Raw genomic sequence first — 15,529 nt, 5'->3', positions numbered from 1 at the left:
TACTGGAGAGTTAGAAGAGAGTTTAATTTTATCCTTGATTTTTTTTTTTTAACTGACAAGATCTCACTATGTTGCCCAGTCTGGTCTCAAACTCCTGAGCCTGTGATCTTCCTGCCTCGACCTTCCAAAGTGCTGGGATTATGACCATGAGCCACCGTGTCTGGCCGTATCCTTAATTTTTTGAGACAAGTTGTTTAATTATTAATTTTATTCCTTGTCAGGCAAACATTGATGTATTAACTAATATCTTATGGCCTAACAGATACAATTTTATACACAAATTTCAAATATTTTATTAATAAAATGTTGCAACTTTTTTTTTTTTTTTTGAGACAGAGTCTCACTCTGTCACCCAGGCTGGAGTCAGTGGCTCAATCTCGGCCCACTGCACCTCCACCTACCGGGTTCAAGCCATTCTCATTCCTCAGCCTCCTGAATAGCTGGTATTACAGGTGCGCACCAGCAAACCCAGCTAATTTTTCTATTTTTAGTAGAGACGGGACAGGGTTTCACCATGTTGGCCAGGCTGTTCTCGAACTCCTGATCTCAGGTGATCCACCCACTTTGGCCTCCCAAAGTGCTGGGATTACAGACGTGAGCCACCGCACCCAGCCTGTTGCAAATTTTTAATGTTTATCACAGGGCTTACATAAATTTGGTACCCCCTGATTGTATCTAGATACATAAAATTTATCAGTTAATTTATCCTAACTCAGGAGTTTTAAATTGATAACGCTACTTGCTTTCATTAAACCTTTTTGCCCATTATACATTTCGGAATCTTTAAATTACAAATCTCTAAGAAGGTGAAATTGTTGAAAATCTCATAGGCAAGTTAATAAAAATGACGTTTCCTGTTGCACAGGGAAGTGGCTTGAGTTTTAGGAAAATCACACTAGCTTTGGCAGGTTCCCAAGAGAGATTCTTTCTGAAAACAACAACAACAACAACAACAAAAACTTAAATTTCATTTGGCTACTTCACCTGCAGTTTAAAACTGTTAGCCCTACAGCATGAGCGACAGGCCAAAATTCCAGCCTGATTTCTTTTTTTATTTTATTTTATTTTACTAGGTGACCTTCTCTGTATCATTCCTATTTTAGTACATGTTCTGCCAAAGCGAGCACCCAGCCTGATTTCTTTTCACGGGCACAGCTGTATTCTCCAGGTGGACCTTAGCTTGGGCAGGAGTCAGAAGAAATGGGTTTTTAGATGTTTGTGTCCTTCTGCAAAGAATCTCCAGTTTTAAAATTAAACTTAAACCTGCCGAACTCTCTAAACATCTGGGCCAGATGAGAGCTGCTGTGTGGGTCCCACTGCAAAATGTCTTAGTCTTTATTACAGCCGCTGTGCTGCTCTGGCCAGCCACAACCACTGGAAGCCTCTCAGGCAGCTAGCTTACCCAAGCAGGTAGTTTTGGTGGGGAGTATATGTTTAAGGCACATGCCCACATCCAGCTGATGAGAGCTTTCTAAGCTACTGCTCTAAAAAAGAGTTCTACTAACCAGGAGGATAGAGGAAGCCGTGGGTGATATTCTTGTCTGCTAAATAGAAGGAACATTTTTGGCTCTCAGAAGGAGGAACCCTGACATCAGCCCGCAGACAGTCTGGGACAGTGGGAGGCAGAGGCGATGTGTCTCCCTGTTCAAAGAGAGAGAGAAAAAAATTACGCCCACAATTGCGGCTCACCCATTGCCTTATATGGTTTGTCACTTCCCTAGAATGTTTTTCATTTAAGCTTTTCCTATTTTCTTAGTGAATCAGGTCTACGCAAGCAATGAGAATGGATGTCTTCAGCAGTGTTTTCTTCTGTGGTTCCCTTCTGGTTAAGGACATCGGGAGGGCAAATCAAATACACCTTGGAAAAAAATATTTGCACAGTGAAACCTGAATTGAGAGCAGAGGAATAATGGGAACTATTCCTAAAAACTAAAATCCTTTTCAAGATCTAACTTTTATGTGGTGATGTATATTGTACTTTTAAATAAAAATTGAAAGTAAAATGTATTTACTTTTAAAATATTGATATAAACTAAGTATTGATATATTATTCTTCAGCTGTTCAAGAACTTTTTATCAACCTAAGATTAATTCAAAGAAGGTGTAGTTGTCTAAACAAATTAGTTTTGAATATAAATAAATTTACAGCCATGCTTCATTCATCATGAAATATAAGAATTTTTAAAATAATTTCTTAGGCCAGGCCGGGCTCAGTGGCTCATGCTTGTAATCCCAGCACTTTGAGAGGCCGAGGCAGGCAGATCACGAGGTCAGCAGTTCAAGACCAGCCTAGCCAACATGGTGAACCCCGTCTCTACTAAAAATACATCAATTAGCCAGGTATGGTGGCGGGCACCTGTAATCCCAGCTACTCTGGAGGCTGAGGCAGGAGAATCGCTTGAACCGGGAGGCGGAGGTGAGCTGAGACTGGGCCATTGCACTCCAGCTTGGGTGACAGAGTGAGACTCCATCTGAAAATAATAATAATAATAATAATAATAATAATAATAATAATAATGTCTTAGGCCAGGCTTGGTGGCTCATGCCAGTAGTCCCAGCACTTTAGAAGGTTGAGGCGGGTGGATCACTGGAGGTCAAGAGTCCGAGGTTCAACATAGTGAAACCCCATCTCTACTAAAAATACAAAAATCAGCCAGGTGTGGTGGTGGGTGCCTGTAATCCCAGCTACTCGGGAGGCTGAGGCATGAGAATTGCTTGAACCTGGGAGGTGGAGGTTGCAGTCAGCTGAGATCGTGCCACTGCACTCCAGCCTGGGCAACGGAGAGAGACTCCGTCTTAAAAAATAATAATAATTTCTTTGTAGCCCTATTTAAAGACTAGTACAATAATTTATTTACCAAGAGGACATCCTGTAAATGTGCTGCCTAACTCGAGTATTTAAGGTAATACTATATTATGTGGTCATCATATTTTGATTAGCATATAATCATGGGTAAGTGAACATTTTGCTATTTGTTTATTTTTCTCAGACATTTTGATTTGTATGCTCTCTACTGCCCATAATGGATATCTTTCTTAATAAAATTTGAAATAATTTATAAAAAAATGAAGATTAAGTTAAATTAGGATGACCTTCCTTTATTCACTGCATTGTGCTGAAAGCAAAATTAGCTATGTTGTCTGAAACCTCTGAGTTCAATTCACAAAGGAAGAGGCAACATACACTGTATGCTGTCTTTGTAGCCAGGAGAGCACCATGCTGAGGTATAGAACAAGTAGGAGCTGAAGATGAGAAAAGTCCAGAAAAAGCAAAGCAGAGACTGTACTCCCTAACATACTACAAAGCTCCAGCTAGAAAACTTCTCAAATTGATTAAACACATACATTTATCTTGCTCCCTTCTAAAATTCCATTAAGAAGACAGTAATAATGAAAACACACAAGAGATGACAGGGAACATTCAGAAGCTGGAAATCAGATAAATAATAACGTGATTTAGTAGACCAGTAAACACTGACTACCAAGAGCTTATGTTTGGGAAAAGCACCAAGGAAGTCCTACTGTAGAACCCCAGAAGGGTAGAACTTGGAGTCCTAAAGACAGGAGTTCGCATAAGGCTGGAAATAGAGGATAGATTGAAAAAGTCTGCAAAAAGGGATAGACAGTATGTTTACTCTCTGGAGAGTTTAAACCAGAGGGATGATCAGACTAAAAGACACAAGGCACAGCCAAGAGCAGGTGCACCATACTGAAAGAAATGAGATTAAACAAAACTCTATTGCTGAATGATAAGATTCCCCAATCTCATTGCCCATTTAGCCTGAAAATTGTATATGCTGAGTCAGATTAGAAGTATCCTCTCTTTGGAAAACAACCAGCCTGAAAAGAAACTAGATACTGTCAGTTTGGAGTCCTCAACAAAATGGCTGGTTCTCTTCCTGATCAACCTATAGTGAAGCTTATAGACTGGAAAGACCCAGCCATATAGTTTAGTGCCTAACTCTTAAAATAGAAGCTGACAGCCAAGGACCACTAGACACTGGGGAATAAGGGAGAAGAAAAAGAGACAATGCAGAAGCCAGAAGAAAACTCTTTTCTCAGAGAGCTGAGAGTATATATGGCATCCATAAAGAAGGAACAGAGGCAATGTTTAAAAAGAGAAAAGGTAACAGAAAGAGCTCTTGGGATTTCAAAATACGACAGCCAAAAGAAAACACTCAATAAGATCTAGAGGATGAAGTTGCAGACGTGACTCAAAAGGTGGAATTAAAGACAAAGAGATGGGAAAAATAGGAAAAATTCAAACACATTAGAGAATCAGCCCAGGAAGTCTAATTTTTTTTTTTTTTTTTTGAGATGGAGTCTCACTATCTGGCCCAGGCTGGAGTGCAATGGCACAATCTTGGCTCACTGCTACCTCTGCCTCCTGGGTTCAACTGATTCTCCTGCCTCAGCTTCCCAAGTAGCTGGGATTACAGGCATGCGCCACCACGCCCAGCTAATTTTTGTATTTTTAGTAGAAACAGGGTTTTGCCATGTTGGCCAGGCTGGTCTCAAACGCCTGACCTCAGGTGATCCATCCACTCAGCGTCCCAAAGTGCTGGGATTACAGGCGTGAGCCACTGCGCTTGACCTGTCTTACTAATTTTGAAGAAAAATTATTTCTAAAATTCTGAAACCAGCTAAAACACCAATTAAGTGTATAGGCAGAGTAAAAACATGTTGAGACACAAAAACTCTCAAGAATGTATCTTCCCCTTTTTCTTTCTCAGGAAGCTCCTGAGTGATATAGTCCACCAAAACAAGAAGTAAACCAAGAAATACGAAGACGTTTGTGCTAAATGTGTTGGATGAGTTCTCACCATTTATTTCACTCTCCTTCAGGTGGCAGAGTCTGGAAAGCTAAAAGCATTTGTTTATATTCTTTCAAAAACATATCATAGTATACAGTTCTGAGTGACCAGGTTTCTCCACTTGGTATAAGGGCTACGTAAGTATGTTGTAAAATTAGAAAATAAGGAATGGTGACTGCTGACCAAGTTGGCCCCATAGACCGCTGGTATATTGTGAGTTTGATATTTCCTAACACACATCTTTATCGTTGTACTCAAACATTTCACATTAGTAAGTTTTACTTGAAGAAATATACAGTATATAAATGTAGCCCTAAATGCATTTTCCATAATGTAAGGAAATTGAGATGCTTATATTTAACAGTTAAAATTATAAAAATGTTAACGAAGAAAGTTTATTGTAATTTTTAATGAGGCTGTGGCTGTAAAAGTTGTGCTTAAACAACTTAGTTGGTCAAAATATTTACCATGTTCTCAAAGTAGCTTAGACTTTGTGCTGGGGGAAATGAACTGGGATAGCTTCAGCCAGAAAGTACTAAAAAAAAAAAGTCACATTTTCTGCTAACCGAAAATCTTGAGATTTATTTCTTACATACCAAACTTGAACCCTCAAATAAAAGTGCATCAGTACTAGGAATGAGGATGTGGCCTCCTTTATCCAGGCGAGATTATGCAATAGGCAGCCCATTAGAAGGATGGAGGGGAGGTACAGGAAGGTCCTTTCTATAATAAAAAAGGCTTTAGTGAACCACCACCACCACCACCCCGCCTCCAACACATAAACAGCTTCAATCCTGCCATCCTATCAGAGTTCCCTGGAATTTTTGAAGCAACGGAATAGAAAGTCAGGAAAGCAATAAATATAATTCAGACACTCAGATAAAATATGAACTTTTTAGCTCTCAAAATCTTACTGGAGAAGTAAATGATGAGTATAGACAGGAACGTGAGCTGCTTGTACTTTTAGTCTGGCATTGAAACAAAGTAGAACCTGAACAGAGGATAAAATTATTTCTATTGAAGTTACAGATGCTTCTTACCTGTAGGCTGAATGTACAAGCTAAAACCTACTTGTTTGAAGATTAGATAGTTACAATTTTGCCTTACGGTAAGGATAATAACTATGTATGTTTTTAATTATTTGGTTGTATGATTTATTTTCTACAGGGAAAAATAATTCTTTCATAGTTCAAAAATGTTTGCAACACACAATAATGCCCCTGTTTCAAAGACTCACAAAATAATCTTTAGAAACAAGAAAAAAGGCTTTTTAACATGGAATGATATGTGTGTAGATTGACAGATAGATAGACATATAGCTATAGATAGGTAAATAGAGCGAGAGATACATAGATACATAGGGAGACAGAGAGGCATTTTTCAAAGTACACTAGATTTCTACTCTGAAAAGTTATTTGATTTCATATTAAATTCTGAAATACCTATTTTAAACAGTAATCACAATTCTTGCTCTTATTTTCAATTTATCACCTAGCAACAGGAACACTAGTGCATATCTTCCTTCTGAACAGGCCCAGAAGCAAAATCTATGTATGGTCTGACTAACCTTAATGGTTTTGAATCAGCTGTTCTACGACCATGATTTCAAATCACAACTACTTCCCCAGAACTCTTCTGAGATACAACAAAAATTACAAAACCCACCAAAACCACAGAAAAACAAAAGCTCTATAAATCTTAAAGGCTAAGACCAATTGGGTCCATGTTCCAAAAAGTGCTTATTTAAGCCTGATTTTTTGAAACACAGAGCTGATTTACAACATTTTTATGTGAATCCCAAAACATCCTTGTATGTAATTTTCTTGAACCACAACACACTAACAGAGTAATTTCTGAATTAGAAAGCAGAAAATTGCTAGAATTCCATCCTGTCACAGGGAAGGAGAAATACACAAGTACTTCTGTGGGATCAGTGAAAGGACAGGAACTTTTGGTAACAAGGAAGCTAGTTTTAAAACAATAACAAAGAAGAATTGTATTAAACTCCTAGTCTGAGCCCACTTAGAATCTCTCCGCCTTTGGTTTCCGCCAAAGCTCATAAAAATTCAAGAATGCAAGACAGCAGGGGAAAAGTACTAAAAACATAAACATTCCCTTTAATGCCACACAACCCCTCATACCTGGAATTTTCAAAATAGAAAATTAAATAATAGGACTGACCCTGAGTATGCCACTCCTCTCGAAAACAATAACAAAATAGAAGTTATTTTGTGGAATGTTGTGTGTTGAAGAAAATCACGAACTGAACACTGTGCATATTAAGAAAGTAATGTTGCACCAACCGTCCATATGAACTCAGGTAACTGTTGGTAAAATATTTGCCCACACTGGCAAACAAACATTAGTACTGTTACCAGTGACCACAATCGAACCATTGACAGCAACAGAGCTGGCTTTCAGAATATACAAAGTTTTAATTAGTAGTAGGAAAATATGCTTATCTTTCTCCAAAAATTTTGAATTGGAACAGGAAGAGTAGGTAAACCTATGCAATCAATTATTTCCTTTCCATAAAAGAGGTGGTACTCTTAGCAAAAACATTAATAGCTATAAGTTTGTCATCAGTCTCTGGATCTAAAATACTAAGATTTTCTCTACAGAAACAGCTCCCTGATTATTTACCCATGTGGTGGGTGGTATAGCTTTGTCTTTAAAAGTCTAAAAATAATGATTGTGGTTAATTCATTCAATGCGTTTCATTCAATAAGCACTTACTGGACAATTCTATTGTGCTGAGGATGCATTAAATAAAATCATCCCTGCCCCAGAGAAGTGTTTGGACTGACTTTAGGCATACTTTAAAGTTTTGTTGCTGTTTTTTTTTTTTTTTTTTTTTTTGAGATGGACTTTCACTGTTGTTGCTCAGGCTGGAGTGTAATGGCGCGATCTTGGCTCACTGCAACCTCCACCTCCCGGGTTCAAGCGATTCTCCTGCCTCAGCCTCCCAAGTAGCGGGGATTGCAGGCATATGCCACCCCGCCTGCCTAATTTTGTGTTTTTAGTAGAGATGAGGTTTCACCATGTTGGTCAAGCTAGTCTCAAACTCTTGACCTCAGGTAATCCACCTGCCTCGGCCTCCCAAAGTGCTGGGATTACAGGCATAAGCCACTGTGCCTGGCCCTAAGTTTTGTTTTAATTTACATTTTCCTTATTGCATATTCCTGAATTGTGATTCAATTGCTTGGCTCCTATCCTTTGTTCATGTAGTAACTAAGATGCTTGTCATTCTGTTGTTGATTGGTGGAAATTTATTAGCTATTCTGAATCTAATTACTGTTCTGGATACTCATAACTTGTTTCTTATATGCAATGCAGATATATTGTTCCATCTACAACTTTGTTATTTTGTCATACATTAATGTTTATGTAGTCTAATCAATTTCCTCTGCATTTTTAATGTTGTTCTTCTTGTCTCCTGAGAAAGCCTTCTCTATCACAAGATCATAAAGATATGCACAAAGGGAATATGGACTTGCGGTTCCTATTTAGGTCTACAAATCCACCAGAAATTTAATTTTGTGTGTGGTGTGAGGTAGGGATCTACTGTTTTCTTCCTGAAGGGTAGTTGACTGTCCTGGTACTACTTAGTGCAAGAGAATATGCCAGACAGTGAAGAGGGAAGGGGCTTTAAACAAGTGGACCTCAACCTCAGCCTGGAGATCTGTGACATAATGCATTTGTCCCATGTAAGTCTAGTCTGACTTACTGGAGTGCCAGATCCTTCAGAGAAGAACTATGCCTATTCACCTTGTATATTTGGTGCCTACTATAACACACAACAAATAGTAAAGTACTTGTTAAATAATCAAATAAATACAAAGCCCTTTATAATCTAGTTATCATCACCTTCTACATGCACCCATGATGTACATGGGGAATCTTAAATGAATAGTATTCCTCTGTACTTCCTGTTGCTTCTGTTTAAAATGTCCTTTTCTACCTGCCTTACCAATTGGCCAATTGGCCTGTAAACATTTTCCATTTTCTCCAGGTAAAACACAATGTGTTCCTCTTTTGCACCCGTGTAGCACCTATAACAACCTTTATCTAATACTTGCACATTGTCTTGCAAGCTACAGGCCAGTGAGTTCCCTCCCTTTGAATCTCTGCTGCAAAACAAAATTCAACTCTTAGAATATGAAAGGATTATAAATATTTCTTGCCTGCATGGATCAATGGACTCAGGAACTTACCAACTGGGGGACTGTGTATGAACTCCACATGGGCATCCTCATAGCTTTTCCAAATCCACTGACATATTCCCTGTGGTAAAGGAGACAGTGGTCCACGTTCTTCTGCAGTACCCTAGGCCTCCCAAATGGCAAATTTACTTTCACTGTTGCTGTTACTAAAATTAAAATAACATAAAATAAAAAGGTTCATGAAATTAGCAAATGCTTCTTTGCATGTAATAACTACCCATATAATAACTACCACTCTCTTATGGCTTATTATATGACAAGTACTCTAACAAATATTTTACATATTTAACCTCTTTCAATTCTTACAACAATCCAATGTATAATTATTAAAAATAATAATAATAATATTGGTGTTATTACTCCATTTTACAGATTATAAAACTAAGGTTTACATAAGTAAGTTGGCCAAGCAAGAGCCTAAGCAAGGATCTGAAGCCTGCCCTCTGTGATTCCTTACATTTTACAGCTCAGAGGATATACATGAAGAGGTAAAACCTTCAAAGTCAAAAGTACATACTTTGTAACAAAGATGACCTAGTCTAGTAATTGTCATAGGGAAGATGTTGGAATTTTATAAACTTATGTCTTATAATCAGAATGTTTATGTGTCTCTAAAACGTATACATTGAAATCCTAATCCCAAAGGTGATGGTATTAGGAGGTGGGACCTTTAGGAGGTGATTAAGGCATGATATAAGACCCCCATGAGCAGGATTAGGGCTTTCATCAAAGACACCCTAGGGACACCTTCACTCCTTCCACTATACGAGCTCAGAGTGAGAAGAAGGCCCTTTATGAGGAATCAGGCCATCATCAGAAACCAAATCTGCTGGCAACTTGATCTTGGGTTTCCCAGCCTCCAGAACTATGAGAAGTAAATTTCTGTTGTTTATAAGCTACCCAGTCTATGGCATCTTGTTATATTAGGTTGGAGCAAAAGTAATTGTGGTTTTTGCCATTACTTTTGAGACCAAGTCTTGCTGTGTCACCCAAGCTGGAGTGGAGTGGCATGATCTCAGCTCACTGCAACCTCCATCTCCTGGGTTCAAGTGATTCTCCTACCTCAGCCTCCTCCTGAGTAACTGGGATTACAAGGGTGCACCATCATGCCCAACTAATTTTTTTTTTTTTTTTTTTGTATTTTTAGTAGAGACGGGGTTTCACCATGTTGGCCAGGCTGGTCTTGAACTCCTCACCTCAAGTGATCTGTCTGCCTCAGCCTCCCAAAGTGCTGGGATTACAGGTGTGAGCCACCATGCCCTGCTGTTTTTTGCCATTACTTTTAATAGAAAAAAACACAATTAATTTTGCACCAACCTAATAGCAATTGGAATGGACTAAAACAACATTCTAATGTATTTATTTACTTTTACTTGCATGCTTCTTAAAAATCCATCAATTAGTGATGGATAAAAAACCTGCAGGCTATTCATGCCATGGAATAACACTTGGCAGATTATAAGATTATCAAAACAACTAGTACATTTACTAAGCTCTTAACTGTAAACCAGGCACATATATTAACTCATGTAATCTTCACAGCAACTGTATAAAGTAGGTATCCCCTTATAAGCGATGAAACTGAAACAGAGTGAGTTTAATACAAGAATACTTAAAAGATAACAGGTAATAATAATATTGCTACAGGCCAGGCACAATTGTAAATTCTTTCCATGTATTAACTTTTTAAATTTTTACAACTACATGAGGTGAGTACGGTTATTACAGATGAGAAGACTGAGGCACAGGGAGGCTAAGTGATTTGCCCCAGCTCACACAGCCAGGAAGCACCAGAGGTAGGACTCAAACCCAGGCAGCTCAGTCTGCTTACATCTAAGGAAAGGAAACAGAGGACTGCAGATGAGTCACAACCTCTTCAAGGAATTCGTTTTGTTCCTGGAACCACTGGAACTACCCCATGCTTGTACTGTTGTCATTATATCTGTTGTGAGTTTTTTTTTTTTTACCTTTTGTATATTGGCAATAAAATCTTTATGTTCAGGAACCTCTGTCAGCTTATTTTGGAGAGTCCTAAAAGGGCCACATTGTGTTTTGTTAGGTCTAAATATCAAAGACTTAACATGTTTTCTATTGACTTACTTTCTTCTTGGGTGAGATTTAGCATCTGATTCACTTGTTCCAGCTGAGTACTCTGCAAGATAATGAGGGATGGGAAAGGGGAGGAAATAAGTCAAAGCAACAATATGTGTTTTAAGGGGTAATCAAGATTGTTTCTGTAGTAATCGATTAAATGTTATACTGCCAAAGAAGCTAGCCTAACTTAAGATTCTGATTCTGCCACTATTCAGAAATATAGAGACACTACTGCTCCCTATTGTGTGTGTGTGTGTGTGTGTGTGTGTGAGAGAGAGAGAGAGAGAGAGAGAGAATTTGCAAAAAGATAATTGATAATGGGGCAAAGCATTCTGATTACTGCTGGAATCAATGACTAAGTTGGGTGACAACATCCCAGTGCTCCTTAAGCTTTAATATGCATACAATCACTTGAGGGTTTTGTTAAAATACGGATTCTGGTTCAGTAAACCTAGGGTAGGGCTTGAGATTCTGCATCTCTAACCAATTTGCAAGTGATGCAGATGGTGGTCCTGAGACCACACTCTGAATAGCAAGAGGCATTCTTTACATAGAACTTGGGGTTTGCAGCCAGATAGAACAAGCTTCTCTGGCCTCGAACAATTTATCTAACTTCTCTGAGCATGTTTTATCTCTAAAATGAGAAATAATATACCTAGTAAGTAATGTTATTATTATTTTTTAATGGCAGTTTGATTGAGGTTATCAGGAGCAGTCGGTAGGAAACCCACACCCTTACTCTGATCTTTGCTGTGGATTTGATCTTCATTGAGAAGTTTGCTAAGCTTTTGTCCTGTAAAGCCCCTTTGGTTGGTTATTTATTTCTGTGGTATAATGCTATTTTGAAGAATAGAGATTGTGATGTCTTCACCTACTTCTGACTATAAGGAAAAATTCTTACCTGAGGCAGCAGGTGTTTTTATTTAGTTCTACAAACACATTTGGAACTTGGCATCAAATGACCCTTGACATTAATTTTAGCTTTAAGGACTCCTGATAACGGGGCTCCAATTTCACTCTGAAATCCCAACCCCATCCAGGCGCTCTGATTCTCACAAGTAGGCTTGGTCCTTATATTTTGAGCTGCTGTTATGACTCCTTGCCCTTGGGGCCTCTCCTAGCACTAAAACCTCACCTTATTGAAAGTCTCCTGGGATCTGAAGTCCTGCTCTTGAACTCATCCAAGGGCCTAATCTACTAAAAAGACCTTCCCAGTGTCAACTGTCAGCCAGATTCTTCCCTGCTACCCAAAGGAACACCCCGCAGCACCTACCCTAGTGGGTATGTCAAACAGCAGGCTGCAATCCCTACACCCTCCTAGTTCTTTCTGCTCTAAATAACCAGGCATGAACATCTGATTCATAAACCGCAGGAAGAATGGTTTATAAGGAAAGTTGGAGAGAGCTCGAAGATTACTGTATTGAATGGTGAAGGACAGTTAGTTTATAATGACATTAACAATTACCAAACAGTGCTTTCCAGTTTATAAAGCATATTTCCCTACTTAATCTTACAATGTATGCATTCTCACTTCTCGTTTCCAGGTAAGGTTCAGAGAAACCACATATATTTACTAAGTAAATATCCAAGGCGGAACACAAACCTGGTTGTTGCTACCCCAGTTGTCAGCTACCCAGGTTAAGAATAGCTTGCCCCTTTACGTTCTTATGGATGCATGAAGTTGTTACTTACATTTTGTAGGTGAGGGCAGAAACAGTCAAGAGACTCTGTGGGCAATGGATTAGCAAAGCCACAAACAGAAAACTTTGACACCTCCTCTGCATGGGATGGCTCATAAAAAGGCACCTTCAGAAGATGGTTTAAACTACCATGGGTTCCATTGTTTGGTGCTGGTTGAATGCGTAGAAGATCTGTTTTTTGAAAAAATTAGTTCAAAGTAGCTTTACACTGGAAAGCAACAACTCCTCTGTGGGAGATGGGAAGAAACAAACACCTACTCTTTCACTCCCTTTAATAAATTCTGCTGTAACGAAGCTATGTACTCTATATGCCATTCAGTTTACTGACTTTCTTCTCCATGGTTTCAATCACTAGTCTTGCTAAAGAATAGAACTAGCCAGGTGCGGCAGTGCACCTGTAGTCCCAGCTACTCAAGAAGCTGAGGCAAGAGGCTTGCTTGAGCCTGGGAGTTTGAGGCCAGCTTAGGCGACATACTGAAACTCCATCTCTTGAAACAAATGAGGAATAGGAACAGTTGCTGCAGATGAGCCAGAGGAACTTTCATGAATGGTTTCTGTTTCTCCAAAGAAAAGCTTCCTTAAATCACCACTTTGTTTCGTAAGCATATCATGATTTTCTAGCATAAAAAGCTATATTCTTAATAAAAGCAAGTTTCAATAAATAATTTATAATCTTCCTTGTAGTACATTTATTCTCTAAAGATAGACACTTTTAAAAAATGGAACTAGTGAATTTTGCTTAATATTAGGAGAGCTTTTCTTCATTTTTTTCTATGAAAATACATAATACAAAATGTATTTGTATGTTTCATAGAAACATACAATTTGCATGTTTGTATGTTTCTATGAAACATACAAATATTTCACCAACATAGCCTTTTAAGTAATTCCTGCTGACTGCCTGCTACCTAACAGATCTCTCCTGGAACTGCAGTCCTATGTAGTTCCTTTTAACCAGTTCTGCAAAGGGCCAACAGTCCAGACCATAAACCTAGCCATGTGGAACAAGAATGTAAGTTGTTAAGCCTACAACACACCATTTTAAAAACTGAATACCTTTTGGTCTCTAAGTCACATTCAATTACCACAAACCAGTGACAACATTAAGAGAGAGAGTTGTAAGCATGTTTATGTCCAAATTTCTAAAGCTAACAGCGAAATTGCAGCTTACTCATTGCCTTGCTAGGTAAATAAATGATTTGTTAATACAATGGCCTGCAACAAGCACGTAGGTAGGAAGGTAGGTTAGGCTTCCTAAAATCCTAATGCTTTAAGGTTTTTTAACATTGAGTATAATAACAAGTGTCTATCCAGCTAGGACTTTTTTCCCATGTTTTTATGCCAGAGAGCTTCTCTCTGTAATTACAAGAAAATGTTTGTGTTTTTAGGTAAGTTTGTCTTGCTTTGAAAAGTTGGAAGTATTATTTACCTAAGTTTTATTAAATTAAATTATCATCTAGTAACTAACTAATAGAAAAGGTTGGTCTTCTGAGATCTAAAGTTTATCATTACTGGCTGGGCATGGTAGCTCATGCCCGTAATCTTAGCACTTTGAGACGCCAAGGTGGGCAGATCACTTGAGGTCAAGAGTTTGAGACCAGCCTGGCCAACATGGTGAAACACCATCTCTACAAAAAATACAAAAAAAAGTAGCCGGGCCTGGTGGTTCACACCTGTAATCCCAGCTACTTGGGAAGCTGAGACAGGAGAATAACTTGAACCTGGGAGGCGGAGGTTCCAGTGAGCCAGGATCACACCACTGCACTCCAGCCTGGGTGACAGAGCAAGACTCCATCTCAAAAATGAAAATAAAGTTTATCATTACTAGTAAAACAAAAAGAATTCACTCTTATAGCTGAATAATTCTGAATAATGAATAATTCTTCCTTATCTTTTTTACTTTCTGCCTTCTCACTACAGAGCATCCAGCCTCTGGGATTCAGTTTGCTACCAATTTCAAATCACATATATTTAAAACTATCCATATTTTGTTGGCGAACTTATTTAAATATACTTACCACACATTAGGTTATAGACTTCAATATTTTCAAATGGTTCAACTTCAGTCTTCTCTTTAAAACTGGGTCCATGTGCCAGAAAGATAGCCTAGGTCATAATAGTCAGATTATTATTATTAGATGTCATCCAAATTCAAAAACAAATATAGGAAGAGACAAAATTTTCCTTCTGTAACTACTCTCCTATTTGTATTAGGCCTCTGTAAGGAATTTTTTTTTAGTTTTGAAAATGATTTTCATATTTTTCCACCTGCAATGTTGTACCAATCCCAACCAAATATAATCAGTGCTGTATTTACTTCTGTCTCTACCCACCTCCATAGCACCTCATGTGCCAATAAAGTAGGAGAATACAAACAATGGCACACAACCAATATCAGCATAATTCTGCAATATGGGCACAATATTTAGTAGAAATTTAATCATATAACATCATATTATCTTTTCATATTGTTTCATATCATTAATCAAATATGTTAATCGAATATGTTAACATGACACAAAATGTTAACTTTTTTTTTTAGATGAAGTCTAACTTCCTGTTCCACTTACACTTCTCTCTTTTACTTTTGGGATAAAAAGACCTCAATATTTTGGTTTACATTGAATTAATTAATGTTAACTTGATTATATTATTTATAACAGATCAAATTATTTTAGACTTAAACAATTAGAAGAAA

General features: G+C 38.1%; 1 protein-coding gene across 4 annotated transcripts in view; it reads right to left on the bottom strand.

Annotated features, from left to right (window-relative positions):
- ENPP3 (ectonucleotide pyrophosphatase/phosphodiesterase 3) overlaps positions 1-15,529 on the bottom strand; it is a 110,109-nt gene that overhangs the window by 12,182 nt on the left and 82,398 nt on the right. For 3 of the 4 annotated variants that reach the window (NM_005021.5, XM_017010932.2, XM_011535897.2), the window contains 5 exons: positions 14,850-14,937; positions 12,824-13,002; positions 11,138-11,189; positions 9,029-9,183; positions 1,506-1,641 (listed from right to left, as the gene is read on the bottom strand). In NM_005021.5, the coding sequence (NP_005012.2) occupies positions 1,506-1,641; positions 9,029-9,183; positions 11,138-11,189; positions 12,824-13,002; positions 14,850-14,937 (610 nt within the window). The remainder of the gene's footprint in view (positions 1-1,505; positions 1,642-9,028; positions 9,184-11,137; positions 11,190-12,823; positions 13,003-14,849; positions 14,938-15,529) is intronic. The other variant, NR_133007.2, reaches the window with a different exon arrangement.

Source organism: Homo sapiens, chromosome 6, assembly GCF_000001405.40.
Source record: "Homo sapiens chromosome 6, GRCh38.p14 Primary Assembly".
NCBI classification, from domain to species: Eukaryota; Metazoa; Chordata; class Mammalia; order Primates; family Hominidae; genus Homo; species Homo sapiens.
This window is presented reverse-complemented; position numbering and strand designations above follow the sequence as displayed.